Source organism: Homo sapiens, chromosome Y, assembly GCF_000001405.40.
Source record: "Homo sapiens chromosome Y, GRCh38.p14 Primary Assembly".
Lineage (NCBI taxonomy): Eukaryota > Metazoa > Chordata > Mammalia > Primates > Hominidae > Homo > Homo sapiens.
In genome coordinates this window covers 7,923,643-7,951,317 of record NC_000024.10, presented here as the reverse complement: position 1 = coordinate 7,951,317, position 27,675 = coordinate 7,923,643, and the positions used below count along the sequence as shown (strand labels likewise).

The 27,675-nt window shown below is 40.6% G+C and overlaps 1 pseudogene; it reads left to right on the top strand.

The window, feature by feature from the left end:
* BPY2DP (basic charge Y-linked 2D, pseudogene) lies at positions 2,319-25,229 on the top strand (annotated as a pseudogene).

Here is a 27,675-nt window from a genome sequence, read left to right as displayed (position 1 = left end):
AAGTGTGACTTTGCCCAGTATCTGAGTATTTTGACTCTCCTTTCTGGCCCAGAGCACAGTTGAAATTGTGACACACCTGCAACAAGCAATATATAACACCTTCAGCAATGTGACAAAGGGCACTTTTACATGTCACTAACACCAGCATGCAGCTGATGTAAAATCTTGTCCTGAACCCTTACTACGGAGAGCACTGTGGCTTTTTTCTAGATCCATCATGTAAGTGATGTGACTTCTTTCTACTGCCTTGGCACTGTACTTATTGTGCATTGTGACACATAACAGGGTACTGCACTCAGGTGATGCAACTCATTTTTTGTGGGGCTCTGCCAATAGAAAGCTTTTTAACATAACTCTTGGTTCAGCACCTAGGTGATTTTTCTTTTTTCTTTCCTGAGTTCCAACCACCAGAGAGATTGTGAAATGTTGCTGAACCCAGAAGCAAAGCGAGGACACTTTCCGGCCTTGGTTCTGCACTTAGGGGCTTTTGTGACATATCTCCAGGCCAATTGCTTAAGTTTGTCTCATCTCCTGCCTAAGCCCTGCACATAGGGTGGATTTTGATATATCACTTAAAACAGCATCCAGGTGATGTGACTGTTTTCCAGGAGTCCTGCCCACCAGGAGGATTGTGATATTTCACTGGACCAGAGCCCACTAAGGTGATGTGACTTACCTTTCTTCACCTTGCCCACAGGTGATATTGTGGCATATACCTGAGAACACATCAAAGGGATAATAGCAACTCTTATACCTGGAGCTAGTATGGGCAGAATGATGACTCTCATTCCTGAACCTTTCCACTGGTGTTATTGTGACATATACGTTTGTCCAGCTCCTTAGTGATTTAATAATCCTGCCTAATTATAGCCTGCATATGACAGTTTGACATATACCTGGACCAACAACCTTATTAGTTTGACTCTCCTGTCATAACAGTGTCCTCAGAAAAAATTATAACATATCTATGGGCCCATCATCTAGGTAATGTGATGTTCCTCATTTGCCTGAACCTCCTTCCAGTGAAGAGTATAGCATTTTTAAACACTGCCTCCAAATAGCGTGACTCTCTTTCCTGGGCCATTTCAACAGGAGGTTTTGTGACATATCTCTGGGCCCATCATTTAGGTGATGTGACTCTCCTCAACTGCCTGGACACTCTCCAGAAGAGGCATTATGCCATACAACTTGGACTAGCACCAAAGTTTTGTAAATTTTCTGTTAGTGCCCTGCTAACAAAGAGAAGGTTGGAATACTTCTTGCTTAGAATTTAGGTGATATGTTTGTTCTGTCTGTTTTATAACCAAAGAAGGCATGGTGACATACACCTAGGCACAGCTAATAGGCATCATAATGACTCTTATATGTGGGACCAGGCAATAGAAGAAATTTTGCCTCTTATAACTAGGTTTAGGGACATGAGTGATGTGGAATCTCCTGCTATAAAGGTCACAGAAGTTTACTAACTCACACATATTTTATAACACCCTTCTGTTGTATAGAGAGTGTCATAAAGGGCCTAGCACACTGAATAAATTGTGAGTCTCGTATGCAAACCCAACTGACAGTATGGACTTTCACCATCACAGATGGATGAATGCAACTGTCCTACATGAAAACAGGACATGTGTGGTATTTTAAATCTAATCCCTAGAATTTTATTCCATCAAGACTGTGATATAATCTTTGCCAATTACCGGTGTGATTTGTCTCTTCAGACTGGTTCAAGCATACATATGGGATTTTGATATTTACCTGGGTCAGCCTTGAAGTGAGGTTACTCTTCTGCCTGGGCCCTGCTCTCAGTAAGTATTGTGACATTACTGGATGCAGTAACAAGGTGATGTTACATTCTTGCCTGCCCCATGAGACAGACATCATTGTTACATATCACTGTGTCCATCACTTAAAAGACATTACTCTGCTCTCTGGAATGGGCCCTGCAAGCAGGGCAGGATAATGACATATTCTTAAGCCTGGCACAGAGGTTATGATACTATTTTGGCATATTTCAAAATGTCCAAAAGAGGACATTTTGAAATACCACAGAACCTATCATAGAGATGATATGTCTCTTCTGCTTGGGAACTGCCCACTTGAAAAGTGACATATCGCTAGGCCAGACACAAAGGTGATGGTACTCTTTTGTCAGGGACATGCTTTAAGGAAAGCTTTGTGACATATTTCTATGCCTTTCACCTAGGTGATGTGACTTCCTGCTTGGCCCTGCCCACATGGAGCATTGTAAAATAAGTGTGGGACCTGCACCTAGGTGATGTAAATCTCTTGACTGGGTCCTTTTCTAAGGAGGGCTTGTGAATATCTCAGGTCCCAGGACCAGGTGATTTGGCTCTTCAGCCTGGATTCTGCCCACCTATTAAATTGTCTAGGTGTATTAAATACATATAAACAATTGACGTATTGTGAGATATTGAGCCCAGCACTTAGATAATGTTACTTTTGACTTGCTGCCAAACAATGCCCATGAACAGGCCTTTTGCCATATTTTAGGGCTCAGCACCCAGATGATGTTACTCTTCTGCCTAGGTCATGCATAAAGAGGGAATTATGGCATACTGTTTGGCCCAGCACTCTAATGATGTGACTCTCCTGTCTGTGACAGAGCCACAGAAATTATATTGACATATCTTTGGCCCAGTCTGTAGGTATTTTGGCTCTCATTACTTTGCTTGCTTTCTTCCACGTGTGATTGTATCACATTACTAAGCTCCATCCCCCAGTTAATGTGACCTTCTTTAGTAGACCCTGACTGAAAAGGGTATTGTGACTTATTGTTTTGCATAGCACCTAAGTGATGTTAACCTTCTGGCTAGGTTTTGTCCTAAAAATTGAATTATGACATATACCTTCCTTCAGTTCAAAGGCATGATGATCAAGCTTATATTCGGCCAGTAGGAGAGATTTTTTTTTCTCTTATCACTAGGTTTAGATCAATAGATAAATTCTTTAATTTGATATTTTACAAAGCTCACACAATTTTACAGCACTAACTCATATCATAAATACTTCTTGTGTGGTACAGAATGTTTCCTAATGGAGCCCATCAAAATGTTAAGATTGTGACTCTCAACTACACATTGTGGTGAAAGTAAAAGTTGTGACCATCTTATATTTACAAGGCCCATTGTTGAGGTCCTGAGTCTAACAAGTGAATACAGTAAAAAATTGGAATTGTAACTTTCATAAGGGAATCTGGCCACAAGTGGGTTGGTGACTCATTTCTGGACCCAGCTCACAGGCATAATAATGGACTCATCCCTGAAGCCAGCATACAAGACAGATGTTGACTGTCATACTTCAGTTTAGGAAAGTATGTAATACCATGAGTCCATAGCAGCATGTAGGTTTGCAACTCTCATTCATGCTCTATAAAGCCTTCTAATGATGTAAAGGGTTATACAGTGCCCCAGGAAACATGTGAGATTGTGACTCTCATATTCACAGCCAGCTCATGGTTAATGGTGTCACCCTAAAAGACAAGGAGATTTGGCATCTTACTAGGCGTAGTACCCAGGTGTTGATACATTTTGGTTTAAATTTCCCATGGGTACATTTTGACATATTGCTGGGTTAGAATCATAAAAATGTGACTCTTCTGCTAGGACCCTTCCAATAGATAATAGTATCACATATCTCTGGGCCTATAAACTTGGTGATTTTTCTCTCCAGTGCCTGCCCCCAGAAGACATTGTAAAATATCATTTGGCTTAACATCTAGGTCATGTTACTCACCTCTCCTGTCTGTCTTCTGCTCACCAAGTAAACTGTAACATACAGCTGATTGCAAAACCTAGGTATTGTGACTCTCATCCATGTTCTAGACTTTGTCAAGAGAGGGGATTATTACATTTTGCAGAGCCCAGCTCCTAGGTTGAGTGACTTGTCTCTTTTTCTGTCAATAGCAGGCTTGATACTATTTCAGTCTGTATCCAGGTGATGTGACTCTTCATACTATGCTCAGCCTACATATGTGATTATACTGTATCACTGGCTAAGCATCCAGATGATGTGAGTATCCTGGCTTCTTCCTGCTCATAGGTGGAACTGTGAAAAATGTTTGGGTTAACCACTTCTGCACAATAATAACTCTCATACCTAGACACAGCCGGTATGTTGAGATTCACTCTGGTTTCTGGTAGAAATATTAAAAGGAAATATTAGGGGACGTTATAAGGAACAGTCACAAACCTTTTTTGAAGGCTGAAAAGTTACATAGCTTGTAATAATTGAGCAGGCTTAAATTTTACCCCAGGGTAAAATTAGGGACAATATAGGCTTCCCCAGTTAAGTCTGTTTATTCTACCTCTATTTGAACTAATTGGCCCTCTCAGTGGGGAGCTTGACCAAGAAAATTTCCCCTTAATAGTATTTACTTTAGACCATAGTACCTGACCTTAATCATTTTTAGAACTACGCTCTTAACCATGTTAATTATCCACAATTGTGTTTACTCAAAACTTCCGTTATTAATTCTATACTAAAAGTTATTTACAACAGATGCCAGCAAAATGTTAAGATTCTGAATCTCCACTACACATTCAAGTGAAAGTAAAAGATGTTACCTTCTCACATTACAAATCCCATTGTTAAGATCCTGAGTCTAACAAGTGCATACAGAACAAGTGCATACACAAGTTGGAATTGTGACTTTCAAAAGTTAATATTGTCACAGGTAAGATGGTGACTCACTTCTGGCCCCAGGTCACAGGTTTATAAATGATCTCATCTCTGAAGCAAGCCTGTTGGAGAGATGTTGAGTGTCATATGTTGGCTTAAGGCAATATGAAAGATCATGAGTTCATATAAGCATGTAGGCCTCAGAGATGTTTCAACTCTCACGCATGTTGTATATTGTTAACAGATGTTGCAGAGAATGTTTTACAATGGCTACAACATACGTGACATTGTGACTCCATATAAACAACTAGCTAACCATTAATTGTGTCACCCTTAAAGATGAGGAGATTGTGTCATATTACTTGGCTTCGTACCCCAGTGTTGGGACATTTTGGTTTAAATTCCTTTCCATAAGGACATTGTTATATATCACTGGGTCAGAATCATGATAATGGGACTCTTCTGCCTGGGCCTTGAAAATGGGGTATTTTTGTACACCTCTGGGCCTATTGGCCAGGTGATATGTCTCTCCTGCCAGTGCATTGTGATATATCACTAGATATAGCATCTAGGTAATGTGAGTCTCCTCTTCTGCCTGGAACCTGTCTACCAAAGAAATTGTGACATACAATTGAGTGCAAAGCCTAAGTGACATGACTCTCTTCTTTTCCCTGGACTCTGCCAAGACATGGAATTACTACATGTTCCTGAGTTCAGCACCTATGTGTTGTGATTTTTTTTTCATCAAACCTGTCTACATTGGGCATTGTGACATATTACTTGAGGCTCTACCCAGGTGATGTGACTCTTCTGCCTGATTTCTGCCCACTTGTTAGATTGTGACATATAACTAGGAAAGCACCTAGGTAACATGACTTTCCTTTTCTGACTCTGCCTTGACTACTAGGGCAGTGGTACCTGTCTCCAAGCCCAAGACTTAAGTGAATTGACTCTGTTCTTCAGCCTGGTGTTTACAATGAGGGAATTGTGACATATTGCTCAGCCTGGCACTCAAATTGACTCCTTTTTCTGTTGAACCATGCAAACAAACAGAAATTTTGACCTATTGCAGGGCCCAGCATGCATATAATATTACTTTTTAGCCTGGATTGTGCATACAGTGAGGATTATGGCATGTTGCTGTTCCCAGCACACTAACATGTGACTATCACGCTTTCCTGCAGCTACAGAAGGTATTTTGACATATCCTGAGCTTATTCTGTAGGTGTTTTGGCTCTGATTTCTTTTCTGTTCTTTTTCCACATATGGTGTAGTGTCATATTGCTGGGTCTATTACCCAGTTAATATGATTTTAATTCCTATACTTTGCCTAGAGACAGCATTGTGACATGATGCTTGGCACAGCACCTAAGTGATGGTGCAACCCTGCTTAGTTTTTGACACACAAATGAGATAATGACATATACCTTACTTCAGTTCACAGGCAAGATGGTCCAAATTATACTGGGATTCAGCCAATAGGAGATATTTTGCTTTGTAACACTAGGACAAGATTAATAGATGAGGTTGTGGGTTGCATATTTGCACCAAACTAAAAGATCTTTATAAAACTAACTGGGAATGTATAAACTCCTTGTGGGGTACAGAGAGTTTCATGACAGGGAATAGCAAAAATTCATATTGGGACTCTGGATTACACACTCAAGTAAAAGCAAATGTTGAGACTATTCCAATTATCCAAAGCTCACTGTTAAGGTCTTGAGTCTAACAAGTGAATACACTACAAAATTGGAATTGTGACCTTCATATGTGGATCTGGCCATAGGTGGGCTGGTGACTCTTTTCTTGATCCAGCTCACAGGCATAATAAAGTGTGTCATCCCTGAAACCAGACTACAGAAGAGATGTTGACTGCTATACCTTGGGTTTAGGGCATTATGTAAGATCATGAATCCATATAAGCATGTAGGCCTCAGAATGATTTGCAACTCTAATGCAATAAAGTGTTAATCAATGGCCCAGGAAACAAATGAAATTGTTACTCTTATATACGCACCCAGCTCACAGTTAATGGTTTCACCCTCAAAGTCAAGGAAATTTGGTATATTACTAAGCCTAGTACCCAGCTGTTGAGATAATTTGGCATAAATTTCTTCCCATGGGTGCATTGTGATATATCACTGGGTTCATATTATTATAATGTGACTCTTCTGTCTGGACTCTGCTAACAGGAGATATTATCACATTAATCTGGGCCTATAAACTGGGGAATTGGTCTCTCCTGCATGTTCTCTGCCCCCAGAGGACATTGGGAAATATTGTTTAACTTAACATCTAGGTCTTGTAACTCTCCTCTCCTGTCTGGATCTGGCTCACCAAAGAAGTTTTGACATACCACTGATTGCAAAACCTATGTGATGTGGCTTTGCTTCATATTCTAGACTCTGCCAAGAGAGTGGATTATTACAGTTTGCAGAGCCCAGCACTTAGGTAGAGTGATGCTCCTCTTTTTCTTTCCTCCTGTCAATAGTGCACTTGGTGACATACTCTTTGATGCTGTCCCAAGGCGATGTGACCATTCTGACTAGTTGCCATATGCAAAGGAGATTATACTGTATCACTGGCTCAGCACCAAGGTGATCGGATGTGACATTTCTGACTAGGCCCAGTCTACAAATAAGACTGTACTGTATAATTGACACAACACTTCGGTGATGTGACTTTCCTTTCTTATAACTGCTGACTGGTCAAGTTGTGATATATATATGTGTTAAGCACACATGCAGAATAATAACTCTCATACCTGGACCCAGCCAGTAGAGATAATTGACTCTCATAGCCAGTCTTATGACCATGGGTAAAGTCCTGGTTTTTTTAATTGTATAAAATTTACAAAGGATTATAACACTCGGCTATATCATATAAAGCCTTAATTGTACAAATAATGTTATAACAGAGGCCAGCAATGAAATGAGAATGGGAAGTTTGAATGCACACCTAGCTGACATGATTGTCATTCTCACACATGAACAGGGCATAGGAATAAGGTACTAATATCGCACAAATAAGCAGTCAAATGTTTAAATAATTATTCTCATACATAGATCTGATTCACAGATGATTTGGTAACATTTGAACCATGATTCAGCACACCTGTGGTGTTGTGTCTTCCTTACTGGAACACAGTCTTCAAGGGGGATTGGGGCTCCTATACATGAATCTTGACCGTTGTTGAGATTATGACTCCTCTATTAAGATCTACCTCATAGAAAGAGTTGACTTACCTACAGGAAACCAGGTGTTGTGTGGCATGTGAAACTTATTTCCAAACATATCTGAGAGTGTGATTGGGACAGGTAACCATGTCTAGCACATGAATAATCTGACTCTCTTTTCTAGGCCCAGACAACAGGTGAAATAGTGCCATATGTTGAACAAAAACCCAAGGAATATATAATACCTTCTTTGGCCTTGCCTTCAAAGGGCACTTTCATATATCACTGGGACCATCACCCAGGTAATGTGAATTATCTGCCTGAAATCTGCCTACAAGAAGAATTGTGTTTTATATCTACATCCCCCATGAATTGACGTGACTCCCTTCTACTGCCTTGGCCCTGTACTTACAGTGGATTTTGACACATAACTGAATACTGCCCCTAGGCGATGTCATTCTCCTTTTTGACTTCTACTAACAGGAACATTGTAACATATCACTTAGCTCAGCATGTAGCTCATGTTTCTTTGCTTTTTCCTGGGCCTTGGCCACAGAGAGGTTGTGACGTATTTCTGGGTCCAGCCCCCCTCTGAGGTCACTCTCCAGCCTTGATAATGCACATAAGAAACATTGTGACACATAGTTAGGCCAATTGCCCATGTGAAATGAGTCTCCTCTTTTGTGAGAATCCTGCCTAGAGAAGGAGTTTTGATATATCACTGAAACCAGCATCCGGGTAATTTGACACTTCTGCCAGGGTCTTGTCCACAAGGTGGATTGTGACATCTCACTGGATCTACACCCACGTAGCTGATGAGACTTTATTTTCTTCTCTCTGGTTGCAGGTGATATTGTGCCATACACCAGAGAACATAATAAAAGCCTAATAACAATTCATATATCTGGAGCCAGGATATGTGCAGGATGGTGACTGTTATTCTTAAACCTATCTACAAGTGTAACTTATATATACCTTTGCCCAGCTCCTTAGTGATGTAATAATTCTGTGTAGGTATAGTCCTCAAATGACATTTTGACAAATCCTTGGGCTAAGCACCTTTGTCATTTGACTGTGTTATCTTAACAATATCCACAGGAGTGACTGTAACATATTTCTGGTCCATGATCTACATTACATGACTGTTCTCTCCTGCCTGTATATGGCTTTTCTTGGTAATTGTAGCATTTCTAAACACTGCATGCAAATGATATGACTCTCTTGCCTGGGCCCTGTCAAGAGAAGGCAGAGTGACATACTTTGCGGCCCATGATTTAGCTGATATGGCTTTTCTCTTTTCTCTGCCCCCCGGACATTACCAACAAAGGACATTGTGTCATAAAGCTGGATCTAACACACAAGTTACATAGCATTTCTGACAGGATCCTGCCTACAAAGAGTATATTGGAATATTTCTGGCAAAGAACTTAAGTGATGTGGCTGTTCTGAATGCTTCATAACCACAGAAGAAATTGTAACATAAACCTTGGCACAGTTCACAGTAATAATAGTGACTCTCATATGTGGACTCAGCCAATAGAAGATATTTTGACTCTTATAAATAAGTTTAGGAACGTTTGTGATATCTTGTATCAGCTTCTGCAAAGGTCACAAAAGATTACAAAACTCACACATATACAAAGTCTTTGGGTTATACAGACAGAAACAAAGCAGGGCTCAGCACACAGAAGAAATTATGTCTTTGAAGTACACATATCTGACAGTAAAGACTGTCAAAATCTCACACGGATGAAACCAATTGTCACACATTAAAATAGGACATGTGTCATATTGTAAATCTCATCTGTGGGATTTTCTGACGGTGTGATTGTGATATAGATCTTTGCCAAGCACCTGTGCAATTTGATACTCCATACTTGTTCCAGCTCATGTATGGAACAGTGATACCTATCTTGGCCAACCTCGAGGTGATGTGACTCTCCTGCCTGGGCCCTTCTCTCAGTAAGGATTGTGAAATGTCACTTAATCTAATATGCATGTGATGTTACTTTTTGTCTGTGCCATGCCCATCATAATTATTGTGACATATTTCTGTGTCTACCCATAGATGAAGTAAATCTCCACTATGGAATGGGCCCTGCACAAAGGAAGGAGAGTTACTTATTGCAAGGCCAGGCACACAGGTGAGGGTACTGCTTTTCCAGAGGTATTCCCAAAAAAGGGCATTGTGACATATCTCTGGACCTATCATCTATGTTATGTGGCTTTTCTACTTGGGCATTGCCAACCTAGAGAGTGACATATTTCTAGGACAGACCCACAGGTGATGTTACTCTTTGACAGAGCTATGCTTTGTAGAGGTCATTATGACATATCTTTGTGCCTATTACCTCAGTAAAGTGACTCCTGAATTGGGCCATACAGACATGGGGAATTGAGGCATAAGCAGAGACCTAGGTGATGTAACAATCTTACCTGGGTGCTGTCCTAAGATAGTCTTGTGGCATATGTCAGGACCCAGCCCCCAGTGATGTGGCTCTTCTGCCTAGTTTCTGTGCACATGTTACACTGTGACATATTCCTACAAAAGCATCTATTTGATATAATTCTGCTTGTCTGCCTGAGTTCTCCCTGCTGGGGACCCTGGGACATATCTCTTACCCCGTGGCCTAAGTGATGCGACTCTCTTTTTTCTGCCTGGACCTCACAATAGGATGATTTTGACACATTGCTTAACCCAGCACTCAGGATAGGTGACTCTCCTTTTTTTCCTAAACCATGCCACCCAAAAAAGGAATTTTGACCTGTTTCAGGGCCCAACACCCAGTTGATGTTACTGTTCTGCCTGATTTCTATAAAAACAGGAAATTATGGCATATTGCCTATTGCTATGCCCAGCACTATTATGATGTGACTCTCCTGTCTGTACTGGAGCCACTGAAGGTATTTTGACATACCTTGGGTCCAATATGTAGGTGTTTTGGCTCTCATAACATTTTTGGGTTTTTTTCACATGTGAAATGGTGTCATATTTCTTGGTCTAGCACCCAGTTTATGTGACCCAGTTTTCTATACCCTGCCTAGAGAAGGCACTGAAACATATTGCTTGGCACAACACCTAAATGGTGCTGCCTTCCTGTTTTTTATTTTTCACAAATGGGGCTATGACATGTACCTTGATTCAGCTCATAGGTATGATGTTCACATTTACACTGCAGTTCAGCCAATAGAAGATATTTTGAATCTCATTGTTAGGTTTAGGGCAATAAGTAAGTCCTGGGCTGCATATTTGTACCAAGCTCAAAGGATACAACACTAACTTATATTGTATAAACTCATTAGTGGTACAAAATTTTACAACAGGACCCAGCAAAATGTTCAGATTTGGACTATTTATTACACATCCAGGTGAAATTAAAAGTTGTCACCATCCTATATGTACAATGCCCACTGTTGAGGTCCTGAGTCTAACAAGGGAATACAAAACAAAATTGGAATGGTGCATTTATATGTGGATCTGTCCAGAGGTGGGATAATAATAGTCTTCTACTTTAACCCTACATATAAAAGACAGGTTGACCAACAAACCTGGGCTTAGTGCAATATGTAAAATTGTGAGTCCAAATGAGCATGAAGGTCGCTGAGAAGTTGTAACTCTCACCAGGTTTTATAATGCCCACAGATTTAGAGAGTGTCATACATTGACCCAGCATACAAGTGAGATTGTGACTCTAATATTCAAGCTTAGCTGAAAGTTCAAGGTGTCACAGTAAAAGATGAGGAGATTGTGTCATATCACTAGGCCTAGTAATCAGGGGTTGAGACTTTTGGCTTAAACTCTTGCCCATAGGTACATTGTGAATTATCACTGGGTCAGAATCCTAATAATGTTGAAACACAGCCAACAGGGGATATTATCACCTATCTCTGGGCCTATGAGCTAGGTGATGTGTCTCTCATGCCAGTGCCCTGCCACAGAGAACACTGTGACAGAGCACTAGATATAGTATCTAGGTAATATGACTAATCACTCATGCCTGTATTCTGGCCACTGAAGAAATTGTGACGTATCACTGAGTGCAAAATCTAGGTGATGTGACTCTCCTCTTTGTCTTGGACTCTGCCAATGAGGAAAAAATAACATATTGCTGAGCTCAGCACCGAGGAGTGTGACAATCCTCTATTTTTCAACCAAGTGTTTAGTGGTCATGATGATACTATTGGAGAGAGTACCCAGGTGATATGACTGTTCTGACTGGGTGCTGGCTAAAAAGGAAATTATAATGTATCCCTTGCTCAGTACCCAGATAATGTAACTCTTCTGTCTTGTCTCAGTCCAAAGGTGAAATTGTGACACATACCTGGATTCAGTTCATATGCACAGTAGTAACTCTGATAACTAGACCTAGCCAGGGGGAGATATTTGACTCTCATAGGCAGTCTTAAGGCCATGGGTAAAGTCCTAGATCTCCAACCTATAAGAAATCACAGAAAATTATGCTACTCAGGCATATCATATAAAGCCTGAGTGTTACAAAGAGTTTCATAGCAGGTACCTGCAACCAGGTATTATTGTGTGACTCTTGGATGCACACCCAGGTGACACAATTTTCATTTTCACACCTGAAGAAAGCCTACAAATAAAGTAGTAAATCTCACACACATAAGCCTCAAAGCTTGAAATTGTTACTGTCATACATGAATCTGATCCACAGGTGGTTTGGTGATGTTTGAGCTATGATTTAGCAAACCTGTGGTACTTTGACTTTCCTACTGGAACATAATTTATGAGTGGGATTTAGACTATTATATATAGGTCATTCCTATTTTTGAGATTGTGATACCTGAGGACACTTATTCCCAGAGCCAGGACATCTGCAGGATGATGATTCTCATCCCTGCCCCTTTTCACAGATGTTATTGTGACTTACACATTTACCCAGCTCCCATATGATTTAATAATCCTGCCTTGTTTTAGTGCACAGATGACATTTAGACTTACACTTTTGCCAGGAACCTTTGTGGTTTCACTCTCCTGTACTTCAACCCAACTTACAGGAGGTGTTGACTCTCATACCTGAAGCCAGGACTTTTGTGGGACATTGAAACTTATTTCTGAACATTTTTGACAGTGTAATTGAGAAGTATGACTTTGCACAGCATCTGAGTGTCTTGATTCTCCTTTCTATGCCCAGAGCACAGTTGAAATTGTGACTTACCTGCACCTAGCACTGAAGCAATAAGCAACATCTTTTTTTGGCAATGCAGCATAGGGCATTTTTGCATATCACTAAGACCAGCACTTGGCTGATGTGAAATCTTGGCCTGAAGCCTGCCTACAAAGAGCACTGTGGCTTTTATTTAAGTCAATTACTTAAATGATATGACTTCCTTCTACACTGTCTTAGCCCTGCACTTCTGGTTGATTGTGACACATAACTGGGTAATGCACCCAGGTGATGTGACTCTTTTTTGGGGGATGAAGTTTCTGTCAATAGTAAGCTTTGTAAAATATTACTTTGCTCAGCACCTAGGTGATGCTTCTTTTCTCTTGCCTGTGCCCTGACCACCAGTGAAATTGTGACGTATTGCTGAACCCAGCAGCAAAGTGAGGTTACTCCCTTATGTTGGTCCTACACATAGCAGCCATTGTGACATATATTCAGGCCAATTGCATAGAGAAGTTTGTCTTCACTCCTGCCTAAGTTCTGCTCACAACGGGATTTTATATATCACTGAAACCAGAATCCAGGTGATGTAACTCTTCTACAAGGGTCCTAGCCACAAGGACATTTGAGATATTTCACTGGACTATCATCCACTAAGGTGATGGAACTTTCCTTTTTTCTCCCTGTTCACAGGTGATATTGTTCCATTTACCTGAGACCAGATCAAAAGCCTAATGATTACACTTGTCCCCAGAGCCAGGACATGTGCAGCATCATAATTCTCATCCCTGCCCCTTTTCACAGGTGTTATTGTGACATATTCCTTGTCATAGCACACAGATGACATTTGGACCTATACCTGTGCCAAGAACATTTGTGGTTTTAGTCTCATGTCTTAACAGGTTCTCAGAAGTGATCATAACATATCTCTGGACCCAATGTCTATGTTATGTGACTCTCCTCTCCTGCATTAACCTTGTTTCCAGTGAGGAGTGTAGCATTTCTAAGCACTGCATTTAAATGACATGAGTCTGGGATTTTTAAAGAGGAGGCATTGTGATATCTCTCTGGGACCACGATTTAGTTGATATGACTCTCCTCTACTGCCTGGACACACTCCAAAATGGTCCACAAGGACAGGGTGATGTGGCTTTTCAACCTGGTTTCCACCCACATATTAAATTGTGAAATATAGCTAATGAAGCACCTAAGTAATATGACTTTTTCTGTCTGAGACCTGCCTACTGGTGACATTGGGCCATATTTGTGAGCCCATGACCTAAGTGACGTGACTCTATTTTTGTCTGGCCCTTTACAATGGTAAGATTGTGACATATTGATGAGCTCAGCACTTAGGTAATGTGACTGTCATCTTGTAACTGAACAATGCCCACGAACAGAACTTTTGCCTTATTTCAGGGCCCAGTACCCAGATGATGTTGCTCGTCTGCCTAGGTTGTGCATAAAGAGGGAATTGTGGCATATTGCTTGGCCTAGAACCCTAATTATGTGACTTTCTTGCTTGTACCAGGACCACAGACGGTATTTTAACATATCTTTGGCCCATTTTGTAGGTATTTGGGCTCTTATCACTTGGCTGAATTTCTTCCATGTGTGGTTGTATTATATTGGTGGCTCCAGCCCCCAGTTAATGTCATCCTCTTTCCTAGGCACTGCTTACAGAGAGCATCATGACATATTGCTTGACAAAGAACCTAAGTGATGTTAACAAGTCCAAAGGTAAGATGATCAAGCTTGTGTCAGGATTTGGCCAATAGGAGATATTTTTCCTCTCACTACTATGTTTAGGTCAAAAGGTCAGGTTATTCTTTGCAAGTTTCTAGAAAACTCACAGTAGTTTACAACACTAACTCATGTAATAAAAACTTCCTTGTTGGTGCAGAGTTTCTTAACAGTGCCCAGCAAACAGTTAAGGTTATGATTCTTGACTACACACTCAGGTGAAAATAAGTTTTTACCATCCTACATTTGCAAAGCCCATTATTGAGATCCTGAGTCCATCAAGTGAATACAACACAAAGTTGGAATTGTGACTTTCATGAAGGAATGTGGCCACAGCTGGGATGGTGACTCATTTTTGGAGCTGGCTCACAGTCATAATAATGATCTCATCCCTATCTCCAGCCTATAGGAGAGATGCTGACTGTCATAGCTGGGTTTAGGGCAATATGTATAATCATAAGTCTGTAAATGCCTATAGTCCTCAGAGAGGATTGCAACTCTCATGCATATTGTATAACATTCTCAGATATCGTAGAGACTGTCATACAATGGCCAGCATACACATGAGATTATGAGTCTGTTATACACAAATAGCTAATATTTAATGGTATCACCCTTAAAGATGAGAATATTTTGTCACATTCCTTGCCCAAGTACCTGGTGTTGAGAACTTTTAGTTTAAATTTCTAGGTCAGAATCAAGATAATGTGACTCTTCTGCCAGGGCCCTGTAAACAGAGGATATTTTCACATATCTCTGGGCCTATTGACTATGTAATATGTCTCTCCTGACATTACACTGCTGAGAAGAGAAACTGCAACATATTACTAGATTTAGAATCTAGGTAACGTGACTCATTTCTCTTGCCTGGATCCTCCTCACTGAAAAAACTGTGATATACCCTTGAGTGCAAAACCTATGTGACATAAATCACCTTTTTGTACTTGAGTCTGTCAAGAGAGGGAATTATTACATATTGGTGAGCACAGCACCCACGTGATGGTGTCATTATTTTTTTTAAAAAAATCCTATCTATAGTGGAGATCATGAGATATTACTTCTGGTTGTACCCAGATGATGTGGGTCTTCTGACTGGTTTCTGCCCACAGTTAAGATTTTCACATATAACTAGTGAAGCATTTAAGTGATATGACACTCCCTTTCTGCCTGGGCCCTCTCCACTTGGGATACTGGGACATATATCTGAGTCCATGAACTAAGGAAAGTGACTCTTTTTTTCTGCCTGGTCTTTACAGTGGAGGGATTGTGAAAGACTGCTCAGCCTAATAATCAGGTTATCTGATTTACCTTTTTTTTTTCTCAAATCATGCCCACAAACAGAAATTTTGACCTCTTGCAGGGCCCAGCACCCAGATAATGTTACTCTTTTTACATGCGTTATGTATGTAGAGAATATTATGACATACTGCTGGGCCCAGCACCCTGATAATGTAAAACTCATGACTGTGCTGGAGCCACAGAAGGTATTTTCACAGAGCAGGGGCCAATTATATAGGTGTTTTGGCTCTCAACTTTTTGCTGTTTTTTTTTTTTTTCCAACATAATGGATTGTGTCATATTGCTGAGTCCAGAACCCAGTTACTGTGATTCTAAGTCCTATACCTTACCTAGAGGGGATATTGTGACATGTTGCTTGGCATAGCACCTAAGTGTTGTTACCCTCTGGCCCAGTTTTTGTTTTTTTTTTTTCCACACAAATGCGACTATGGCTTCAGTTCACAGTCATGATGGTCAAACTTATATTGGGATTATATTGTGATTCAGCCAATATGAGATATTTTACCTTTCATCACTAGGCCTAGGGCAATAGACAAAGTACTAGTTTGCATAATTGTGCCAAGCTCACAGAGCTTTACAATTCTAACTCATAATGTATGAACTCCTTTGATGGTATAGAGATTTTGGTGACAGGGACCAAAAAAAATTTCAGTTTGAGACTCTTGATTACATACCCAGGTAAAAGCAAGTGTTGTCATCATTCTTTATGTCCAAAGGTCACTGTTAAGAACCTGAGTTTTACAAATGAATGTAGTACAAAGTTGGAAGTATGACCTTCGTATATGGATCTATCCACAGGTGGAATTGTGACTTATTTCTAGATCCAGCTCACAGGCATAAAAATGGGTCTCACTTCTAACCCAGCCTAGAGAAGAGATGATGACTGTTATACCTGGGTTTAGGGCAATATGCAAGATCATGAGTACATATGAACATGTAGGCCTTAGAGTGGTTTGAAACTCTCATGCATGATGTATAATGCTTTTGAATATTGTAGAGTTTCATACAATGGCCCAGGAAACATGCAAGATTGTTACTCCCATATGTACACTAGCTCAGAGTTTATAGGGTCACCCTCAAAGACAAGGGGAATTGGTGTATGAATAGGTCTAGTACTTAGGTGTTGAGACTATTTGGCCTAAATTCATTTCTTTGGGTGCATTGTGACATATCACTATGTTAGAATCATACTGTGACTGTTCTGTCTTGATCCTGCCAAGAGGGGATATTATCACACATCTTGGGGTCTATAAGCAAGATGATTTTTCTTTTCTGATTTTTCTTTTCTGTCAGTGTCCATCCCCCAGAAGACATTTTGAGATATCATTTCACTTAACATCTAGGTAATGCAACTCTCCTCTCCTGCCTGGGTCTTGCTCAGAAAATAAATTGTGATATACCACTGATTGAAAAACTGACATTATATGGCTCTCCTCCACATTCTAAACTCTTCTGAGAGAGGTTTGTTATATATTGCAAAGTCCAGCACCTAGGTGGAGTGACTGTCCTCATTTATTTCTTCCCTGTGTATAGTAGGCTTGCTGACAAACTATTTGAGGCTATACCTAGGTGAAGTGACTCCTCTGACTAGACCCAGTATGCAAATGAGGTTATGCTGTATCACTGGTTCAGCATCGAGGTGAGTTGACTCTTTTGCCTTGTCTGTTCTTACAGGTGAAATTGTGACATATAACTAGGTTAAGAGCACATGCACAAAAATAACTCTCATAACTGGAGCCAGCCAGTAGAGATATTTTGACTCTCATAGCGATGGGTTTAGCCCTGTGTTTTTCACTTGTATAAAAGTCATGAAGGATTATAATACTCAGGTAGATCATATAAAGCCTTAATGGTGCAAACAGTGTCATAACAGAGGCCACCAACCAGGTGAGAATGTGACTCTTGAATGCCCACCTAGCTGACATGATTTTCATTGTCACACATTAACAGGGCCTAGGAATGAAATACTAAATCTCACACATAAAAAGCTGTTGATGTTTGAAATAATTACTCACACATATGGACCTGATCCGCAGGTGGTTCATTAACATTTGAACCAGGATTCAGCATGTCTGTGGTGCTGTAACTCCCCTCCTGGACCACAATGTTCAAGTGGGATTACAGCTCTTATACATGGATCTTGCCCACTGTTGAGATTTTGAATCCTCTATTTTGACCCAACTTATAGAAAGAATTAACTCACATACACAAAACCAGGACTTATGTGGGATATGAAACTTATTTCCGAACATATATGAGAGTGTGATTGGGACAGGTGACTTTGCCCAGTAAATGAATAATTTGACTCCTTTTCTAGGCCCAGATCACAGAAGTAATTGTGCCATATGTGGAACAAGCAGCTAAGCAATAGATAACATCCATCGTGGCTCTGCCTTCAAAGGGAAATTTTACATATGTCACTGGGACCATCACCCAGGTGATGTGAGTTATCTGCCTGAAACCTTCCTACAAAAAGAATTTTGTGACATACGTAGATCCATCATGTAAGTGATGTTACTCACTTCTTCCTTTGCCCTGCAGTTGCAGGGAATTGTGACAAATAACCGGGTACTGCATTCAGGGGATGTGATTCTTCTTTTTGGGTTCTGCCAACAGGAAGCATTGTGACATATCACTTGGCTCAGAACCTAAGTGATGTTTCTTTGCTTTTGCCTTGGCCCAGGCCACAAGGAGATTGTGACATATTTCCTGAGCACAACACCTGTGTGATGCCTCTCTACAGCTTTGTTACTGCACAGAATAGACATTGTGACATATATCTAGGCCAATTGCCTTGGTGAAGTGAGTCTCCCTTCTTGCCAAAGTCCTGCCCAGATAGGGAATTTTGATATGTCACTGAAATCCATGCAATGTAACTATTACAACAGGTTCCTGCCCCCTTGTTGAATTTGTGACATCTCACTGGACCTGGACCCACGTAGGCGATGGGACTTTCTTGTGTTTTTTCTGGCCACATACCAGAGACCTAAACAAAAGCCTAATAACAACTCACAAGACTGGAGCCTAGGACTTGTGCAGGATGGTGACTCTTAGTCTTAAGTCTTTCCACAAGTCTAATTGTGACATATACATTTGCCTAACTCCTGAGTGATTTAATAATTCTGCCTAGGTATAGCAAATGAGATTTTGACAGATAGATTGGCTGAGCACCTTTGTGATTTGACTGATGTATCTTAAAATGTCCTCAGGGGATATTGTAACATATTTCTGGATGCTTCATCTAGGTTACATGACTCTCCTCTCCTGACTGTACCCTGCTTCTGTTGGTGATTGTAGTATTTATAAATACTGCATCCAAATGATATGACCCTCTTGCCTGGGCCTTGTCAATAGGAAGCATTTTGACATAATTTTGGGCCCATCCTTTAGGTGATATTACTCTCTTCTCCTGCCTGGACACTGCCCACAAGGGGTATGGTGTCACAGAGCTTGACATAGCATGCACGTTATGTGATATTTCTGAGACAGCCCTGACTACAAAAAGCATATTTGAGTATTCTGACCCAGCATTTATGTGATGTGGCTGTTAGGCCTCCTTCTTAACCGCAGAGGGAATTGTAACATATACCTATGCATGGTTCACAGCCATGATAATGACTGTCATATGTGGACTCAGTCAATAGAGAATATTTTGAATCTTAGAACTCAGTTTAGGGACATGCATGGTGTCCTTTGTCTCTTTCTTGTACAAAGGTCAAAAATTATTACAACACTCATACATATTTTACAAACTCTTTGGTTTATACAGACAAAATCAAAGCAGGACTCAGCACATAGGTGAAATTGTGAGTCTTGTATGTACACCCAGCTGAAAGTAAGGACAACTTATCTCACATAGACAGAGGGATCTGTCACATATGAAAACAGGACATGTGTGGTATTGTAAATCTCATCTTTGGAATTTTCTGACAGTGTTATGATGACGTAAATTTTTGCTAAGCACCTGTGTAATTTGGTTCTCTGGACCTGTCCCTTCTTATATATGGGGTTATGATATCTACCTAGGCCAACCTCTACGTGATATGACTTTCCTGTCTTACTTGTCCTATCTCTCAGTAATGATTGTGACATATCACTGGATATAGCACCCAGGTAATGTTACATCCTTACTTGGGCCATGACCACCAAAATTATTGTAACATATTTCTGTGTTTACCTCATAGGTGATGTGAGTCTCCTCTCTGCAATGGACACTGCACAACAGAAGAATAGTGACATATTGCAAGGACTGACACACAGGCAAATTTCCTCCTTATCCTGTGGATGACCAGTGGAGGGCAATGTGGCATATCTCCGGGGCTATCATCTATGTTATGTGGCTCTTCTGCTAGGGTCCTTCCAACCTTGAAAGTGACATATTTCTAGGCCAGGCACACAGGTGATGGTACTCTTTCCAGCATTATGCTTCATACAGTACACTGTGACATATCTCTGGGCCTATCACCTAAATGTAGTAACTCTCTCCTTGGGTCCTAACCAGATGAAGGATTGTGTTATAACCAAGTGACCGGCACCTAGTATGATGTATCTCTCTTGCCTAGGTGTTGTGTTAAGAGAGACTTATGACATATCACAGGACACAGCACACAAGTGATATAGTGCTTCTACCTGGTTTCTGTCTACATGTTAAACTGTGACATATTCTGTGGGAAAAACATAGGTGATATTACTGTCCTCATCTACCTGAGCTCTGCCTACTGGGGGCATTGAGATGTATCTCTGAACCTAAGTAATGCGACTCTCTTTTTCTTCCTGGGCCTTCACAATAGGAGGATTTTGTCACTTTGCTGAGCCCAGCACTCAGGATATGTGACTCTCCACTTTCTCCTGAACCATGCCCACAAAAAAGAAATCTGACATATAACGTTGCTCAGCACACAGATCATGTTACTCTTCTGCATGGGATCTGCATAAAGAGATAATTACGGCATATTGCATATAGCTGGGCCCAGCAACATTAAGATGTGATGTTTCTGCGTGTGCTGCTAATACTGAATGTATTTTGACATATATTGGGCCCATTATGTAGGCATTTTGACTCTCATAACTTGGCTGGGTTTTTTCCACATATGAAATTTCTGGGTCCGGCACCCAGTTAATGTGATTCAATTTTGTACACCCTGCATAGAGAAGGTATTGTGACATATTGCCTAACACAACATCTAAGTGCTATTGCCCTTCTGCATAGTGTTCTGCCCACATATTTGATTATAACATATACTCTGCTTCAGTTCACAGCCATGATGATGAAACTCATATTGGGATTCAGCCAATAGAAAATCTTTTGCTTTTCATTCTTAGGCTTGGGGAATAGGAAAGGTCCTAGGTTGCATATTTGTAGCAAGCTCACAGAAGCTTACACAACTAACTTATATTTTATAAACTCTTTTGTTGTAGAAATTTTCATAGCAGGGGCCAGCAAAAAGTTCAAATTGGGACTCTTGATTACATGCCCAGGTGAAATTAAAAGTTGCCGCCATCCTACATTTAGAAAGCCAACAGTTGAGTCTTATTCCTAAACCTTTCCACAAGTGTAATTGTGACATATATTTTAGTTCAGTTCCTGAGTGACTTAATAATTCTGCCTAGATATAGCCCATGAATGAGATTTTGACAAATATCTGCATCAAGCACCTTGGTGATTTGACTGTGCTGTCTAAAACTGTCCTCAGGCAGAATAGTCACATATTTCTGGACCCATTATCAAAGGCATATAACTCTCCTCTTTGACCTGTACCCTGCTTCCTTTAGTAATTGTAGCATTTCTAATCACCACATTCAAAGGACATGACTCTCTGTTTTGGACCTCCTCAACAGGAGCCATTTTGATGTATGTTTGAACCCAGATTTTAGGTTATATGACTCTCCTCTCCTTCCTAGACACATCCCAAAATGAACACTGTGCAACAGAGCTGGATTTAGCACACAAGTTATGTGATATTTCAGACAGCACCCTGCCTGAAAAAATAATAATGGGATATTTCTGGCCCAGCATTTAGGTGATGTGATTGTTTGGCCTGATTCATAACCACAGAGGAAATTGTAACAAATAACTAGGAATGGCTCACAGGAATAATAATGACTCTTATTAATATATGGACTCAGCCAATAGATGATATTTTGACTCTTGTAACTCAGATTACAGACATGTGGGATGTCCTGAATCACTTTCTTGTACAAATGTCACAGAAGATTACAACACTCACACATATTTTACAAAGTCTTTGGTTTATAATGAAAAAGTCAAACCAGGGTTCAACTCAAGTGAAATTGTGAGTCTTGTATGCACACCCAACTGACAGTAAGGACTGCCATCATCTCTCATGGATGAAGTCAATTGTCACACATGAAAACAGGACATGTGTTGTACTGTAAACTCATCTTTGGAATTTTCTGATAGTGTGGTTCTGATATAAATCTTTGCAAACACCAGTGTAATTTGACTCTCCAGACTTGTTCCAGTGCATATATGGGACTGTGATATCTACCTAGGCTAACCTTAAGGAGATGTGACTCTCCTGCCTGGGCCCTTCTCTCAGTAAGTATTGTACATATCACTGGATCTAGCATACTATTGATGTTGCATTCTTGCTTATGCCATGCCAATCACAATTATTGTGACATATATTTGTGTGCACCTCATAGGTGATGTAAGTCTCATCTCTGGAACGGATCCTGCACAAAGGAAGGATAGTGACATATTGTAAAGCCAGGCGTACAGCTGTGGGTATTGTTTGCCAGAGTCATGCCCAAACTAGGACATTGTGACACATCTCTATGCCTATCACTTAGGTTAGGTGGCTCTCCTGCTTGGGTGATGACAACCTGGAGAGTAACATATTTCTAGGCAAGACACACAGGTGATGATACTCTTTTGCCAGGACTATGCTTCACAGAGGACTTTGTAACCTATCTCTTGGGCCTATCAACTAGTCAATGGGATTGAATGCTTTGGCCTCATGCACATAGAGCATTGTGACATAAAAGAGAAACATACACCAAGGTGATGTAACTCTTTTGCCTTGGTTCTGTCCTAATGGGGACTTGTGACATATCTTAGGACCCAGCTCCCAGATGATGTGGCTCTTCTGCCTGGTTTCTGCTCACGTGTTGGATTGAGACTATACCTAAAGAAGCCTCTTCTGCCTGAGTTCTGCCTACTGGGACATTGGAACATATCTCTGAGCTGATGAACTAAGTGATATGACTTTCCTCCCCTGCCTCAGCCTTTAAAATGCTGAGAGTGTGACATATTTTTGAGACCAGGATTTAGGGTATGTGACTATTTTCTTTTTTCTAAACCATTTGCACAAGTGGAAATTTTGACCTATTGCAGTCAGATGATGTTACTCTTCTACAAGAGTCCTGAATAATGAGGGAGTTACTGCATAATGGTGGGTCCAGCACCCTAATGATGCTACTGTCCTCTCAGTGCCAGAGCCATAAAGAGTATTTTGACACATTTTCAGTCCATTCTGTAAGTGTTGTGGCTTTCTTCCCTTGGATACGTTGTTTTACAAGTAAAATTTCATCATATTGTTGGATCCAACACCTCGTTAATGTGACCCTCCTTTCTATATTCTGCCTAGAGAAGTCACTGTGACATGCTGCATGCCACATCACATGCCACATCACCTACATGATGTGACTCTTTTTTGCCGAGAAATGGGATTATGAAATATAGCTTGCTTCAGTTCACAGGTATGATGGTAAAACTTACATTTGATTCAGCCAATAGAAGATATTTTATCTCTCATCACAAGGCTTAAGGCAATAGGTAAAATCCTGGGTTGCATATTTGTACAAAGCTCACAGAAGTATACAACAATAATCAATATTGTATAAACTCCTTGGGTGGTACACAGACTCTCCTCACAAGGCCCAGCAAAATGTTTAAGATTGTGACTCTCAATTACACAGGCAGGTGCAAATAAAAGTTGTCACCATCCCTCATTTACAAAGCCCATTTTTGAGATGCTGACTCTAACAAGTGAAAACAGTACAAAGATGGAATTGTGATTCTCATTTGGGGATTTTGCCACAGGCTCAATAGTGACTCATTTTTAGACCCATCTCACAGGCATAAAAATAAGTCTCATTCCTGAACTAAGCATAAATGAGAGATGTTGACTATCATGTCTGGGTTTAAGGCAATATACAAGATTCAGAGTTGATATGACCATGTAGACCTCAGAGTAGTTAGCAAATCTCATGCATGTTGTAAAAAACTTTCAGATGTTCTAAAGGGTGTCATGTAATGGTTCAGCACACATGTGACAATGTGACTTATATACACGCAAAGCTGACAGTTAAAGGTGTCATCTAAAAGATGAGGAGATTCTGTCATATCACTGGGCCTAGTACCCAGGTGTAAAAACTGACTTAATTGTTTGCCATGTGTGCATTGTGACATATCGTTAGGTCACAGTCATAATAATGTGACTCTTTTGCCTTAGTCCTGCAAGGTAGGGACATTATATATATCTGAGCCTATCTGCTAGGTGATTTGTCTATTTTGCTTGTGCTTTTTCCCCAAAGAACATTGTGACATCACTGGGTGTAACATCTAGGAATTGTGACTCTTCTCTGCGGCCTAGGTCCTGCCGGCTAAAAGAATTGTGACATGATGCTGAATGCAAAACCTAGGTAATGCAATTCTCCTCTTTATTCTAGATTCTGCCAAAATGGGGATTATTCCATGTTGCTGAGCCCAGCATCTAGGTTGTGTGACTCTCCTCCATTTCTTTAACCCTGTTCACATTTGACATGGTGTCACATTACTTGAGGCTGTAATCAGGTGATGTGACTCTTCTGACTTGGCCCTGCCTGCAAAGGAGATTATAATGTATCCTGAGCTCACCTTCCAGGTGATGAGACTCTCCTGCCATGTTTCTGCCCACAGGTAAAAGTTTGACATACACCTGTGTTCACCTACCATGCACAAATATAACTATCATACCTGGCTCCAAAAAGGAGAGATATTTTGATGCTCCTACCCAGTCTTATAGCCATAAGTAAAGTAATGAGTCTCCTAATGGTATAAAGTTCACACAGTATTATGACACTCCAGCATATCATATAAAGTGTGAGAGGTATACATAGTGTTATAACAGTGAACAGCAACCCAATGCTATTGGGATTATTGGATTCACACTCATCAGACACAATTGTCATTGCCTCACAAGAACATGGCCTCCAAATAAGGTACTAAATCTCACCAAAAGAGCAGTCAAAGTATGAAATTTTTCCTCTCATATGTTGATCTGACCTACAGGTGATTTGGGGATGCATAATTCAGTGCACATATGAGGCTGTGACTCTCCCACTTGACACTCATCTCCACTTGACACTCATCTCCACTTGACAGTCATCAACTGGTTTTGCCATCTTTTACATGGATTATGCCCATTGTTGGGATTGTGTCTCCTCTGTTTTGACCCACCTCACAGGAGGTGTTTACTTATGTACACAAAGCCAGGACTTGTGTGGGACTGTGAAACTTACTTTTGAATATTTCCTGGTGTGTGATTAGGGCATAAAAGTTAGCCCAGCTCCTGAGTAATTTGACTGTCCTTCTTAGGCCATAACCTGAGATGAAATTGTTATATACATGGACCAAACACCTAAGAAAAGGTACATGTTCCTGCCTACAAATGGCACTTTTACATATCACTGGGACAGGCACCCAGGTAATGTGAATTCTTTGCCTGATTCCTGCCTATATAAAGCACTGTGGCTTATATCTAGGTCTATCACATAAGTGATGTGGCTTACTTCTACTGCCTTTGCCTGCAATTATGTGAATTGTGACACATAACTGGATATTACACCCAGGTAATATGACACTAAATTTTGTGTTCTACAAACAGAAAGCTTTGTAACATATCACTTGGCTCAGCACCTAGGTGATGTTTCTACCTTCTTGCCTTGCTCTGACCACAGGGGAGATTGTGACATATTGATAAACCCAGCACCAAGGTGAGGTCACTTTCATACCTCGGTTCTGTACATAGCAGCCACTGTGACATATATCTAGGCCAATTGTCTAGGTAAAGTGATTCTCCTCACCTTAAGCCCTGCCCACAGAAGAAATTTTGATATATCACTAAAATCAACATCCAGGTGATGTACCTTTTATTCCAGGGTCCTGGCCACAAGAAAAAAAGTGACATCTCACAGGACGAGCACCCTCACAGGTGATGTGACATTTCTGCTTTCTCTCTGCCTATAGATTACATAGTGCCATATAGTTGACACCAAATGAGAGGACCAATCAAGATGCTTAAAACTGAAGCCAGGTCATATCCAAGATGGAGACTTCCATTCCTGGAGCTTTCCACCAGTGTTATTGTGACATATTTCATTTCCCATCTCTTGAGTGGCTTAATAATCCTGCCTAAATGTTGCCCACAAATGATATTTGGATATATTCCTCAGCTGAGCACCTTGACGATTTGACTCTCCTGTCTCAACAGTATCCTCAGGAAGGCACTGGACTCATCATCCATCTAGTTATCTCACTCTCCTCTCCTGTCTGGACCCTCCTTCCACTGGGGATTATAGTGTTTCTAAGCATGCCATCCAAATGATATGACTCTCTTGCCTGATCCCTTTAACATGAGACATTTTGACATATCACTGGGCCTAGCATATAGGTGATATGAGTCTCTTCTTCTGTCTGGAGACTGTGCCAAAAGGGGCATTGTGCCATATATATGGGTGTAACCCCCAGGTGATACAACTTTTCTGCCAGGACTTTGCCTACAAGGAGAATATTGTAACACATCACAGAGTAAATTGTTACATATACCTAGGCAGAACTTACAGGCATGATAATGACCGTTATATGTGGTACCCATAAATAGGAGTAATTTTGAGCCTTATAACTTGCTTCAGAAACACAATGGATTGAATCACTTTCTGGTAAAAAAGAAGACAAGGAAGGTTACAACAGCCTCATATTTTGTAAAGAACTTGGCTCATACAAAGAGTTTCAGAACAGAACCCAAGAGAAAGGTGAAACTGTGAGTCTTATATGTACACCCACCTGACAGTAACCACTGTCACTGTCTCACATATACGATGCAAACTGTCAATCATAAAAACAGGACATGTGTGGTATTGTACATCTCATCCTGAGAATTTTCTGCCAGTGTGACTGTGACATAAATCTTTGCCAAACACTTGTGTGATTTTACTCCCAGACTTGTTCCAGCCCACATATGCTATTGTGATATCTACGTGAGCAAAACTTTAGGTGATATGATGCTCCTGCCTGGGCCCTGCTCTCAGTAAGAGTCACTACATATCACTAGATCCAGTATCCAAGTCATGTTACATTTTTGCCTGAGCCATGCATACAGAAATCATTGGGACATACCACTGTGCCAACCACTTAGGCAACAAAACTCTCCCCATTAGAATGGGTACTGCACACAGTGAGTGATAGTGATATATGACTGGGCCAGGCACAGAGGTGACAGTACTTATATGCTAGGACTATGTCCTAAAGAGGGCATTGTGACAAATCTCTTGGCCTATCACCTAGGTGATGTTGCTAATCTGCTTGGGTTCTGCTTACTAAGATAGTGACATATTGCTAGGCTATGCACACAGGTGATGGTACTCTTTCACCAGGGCCATGACTCAATGTGGACATTGTGACATAT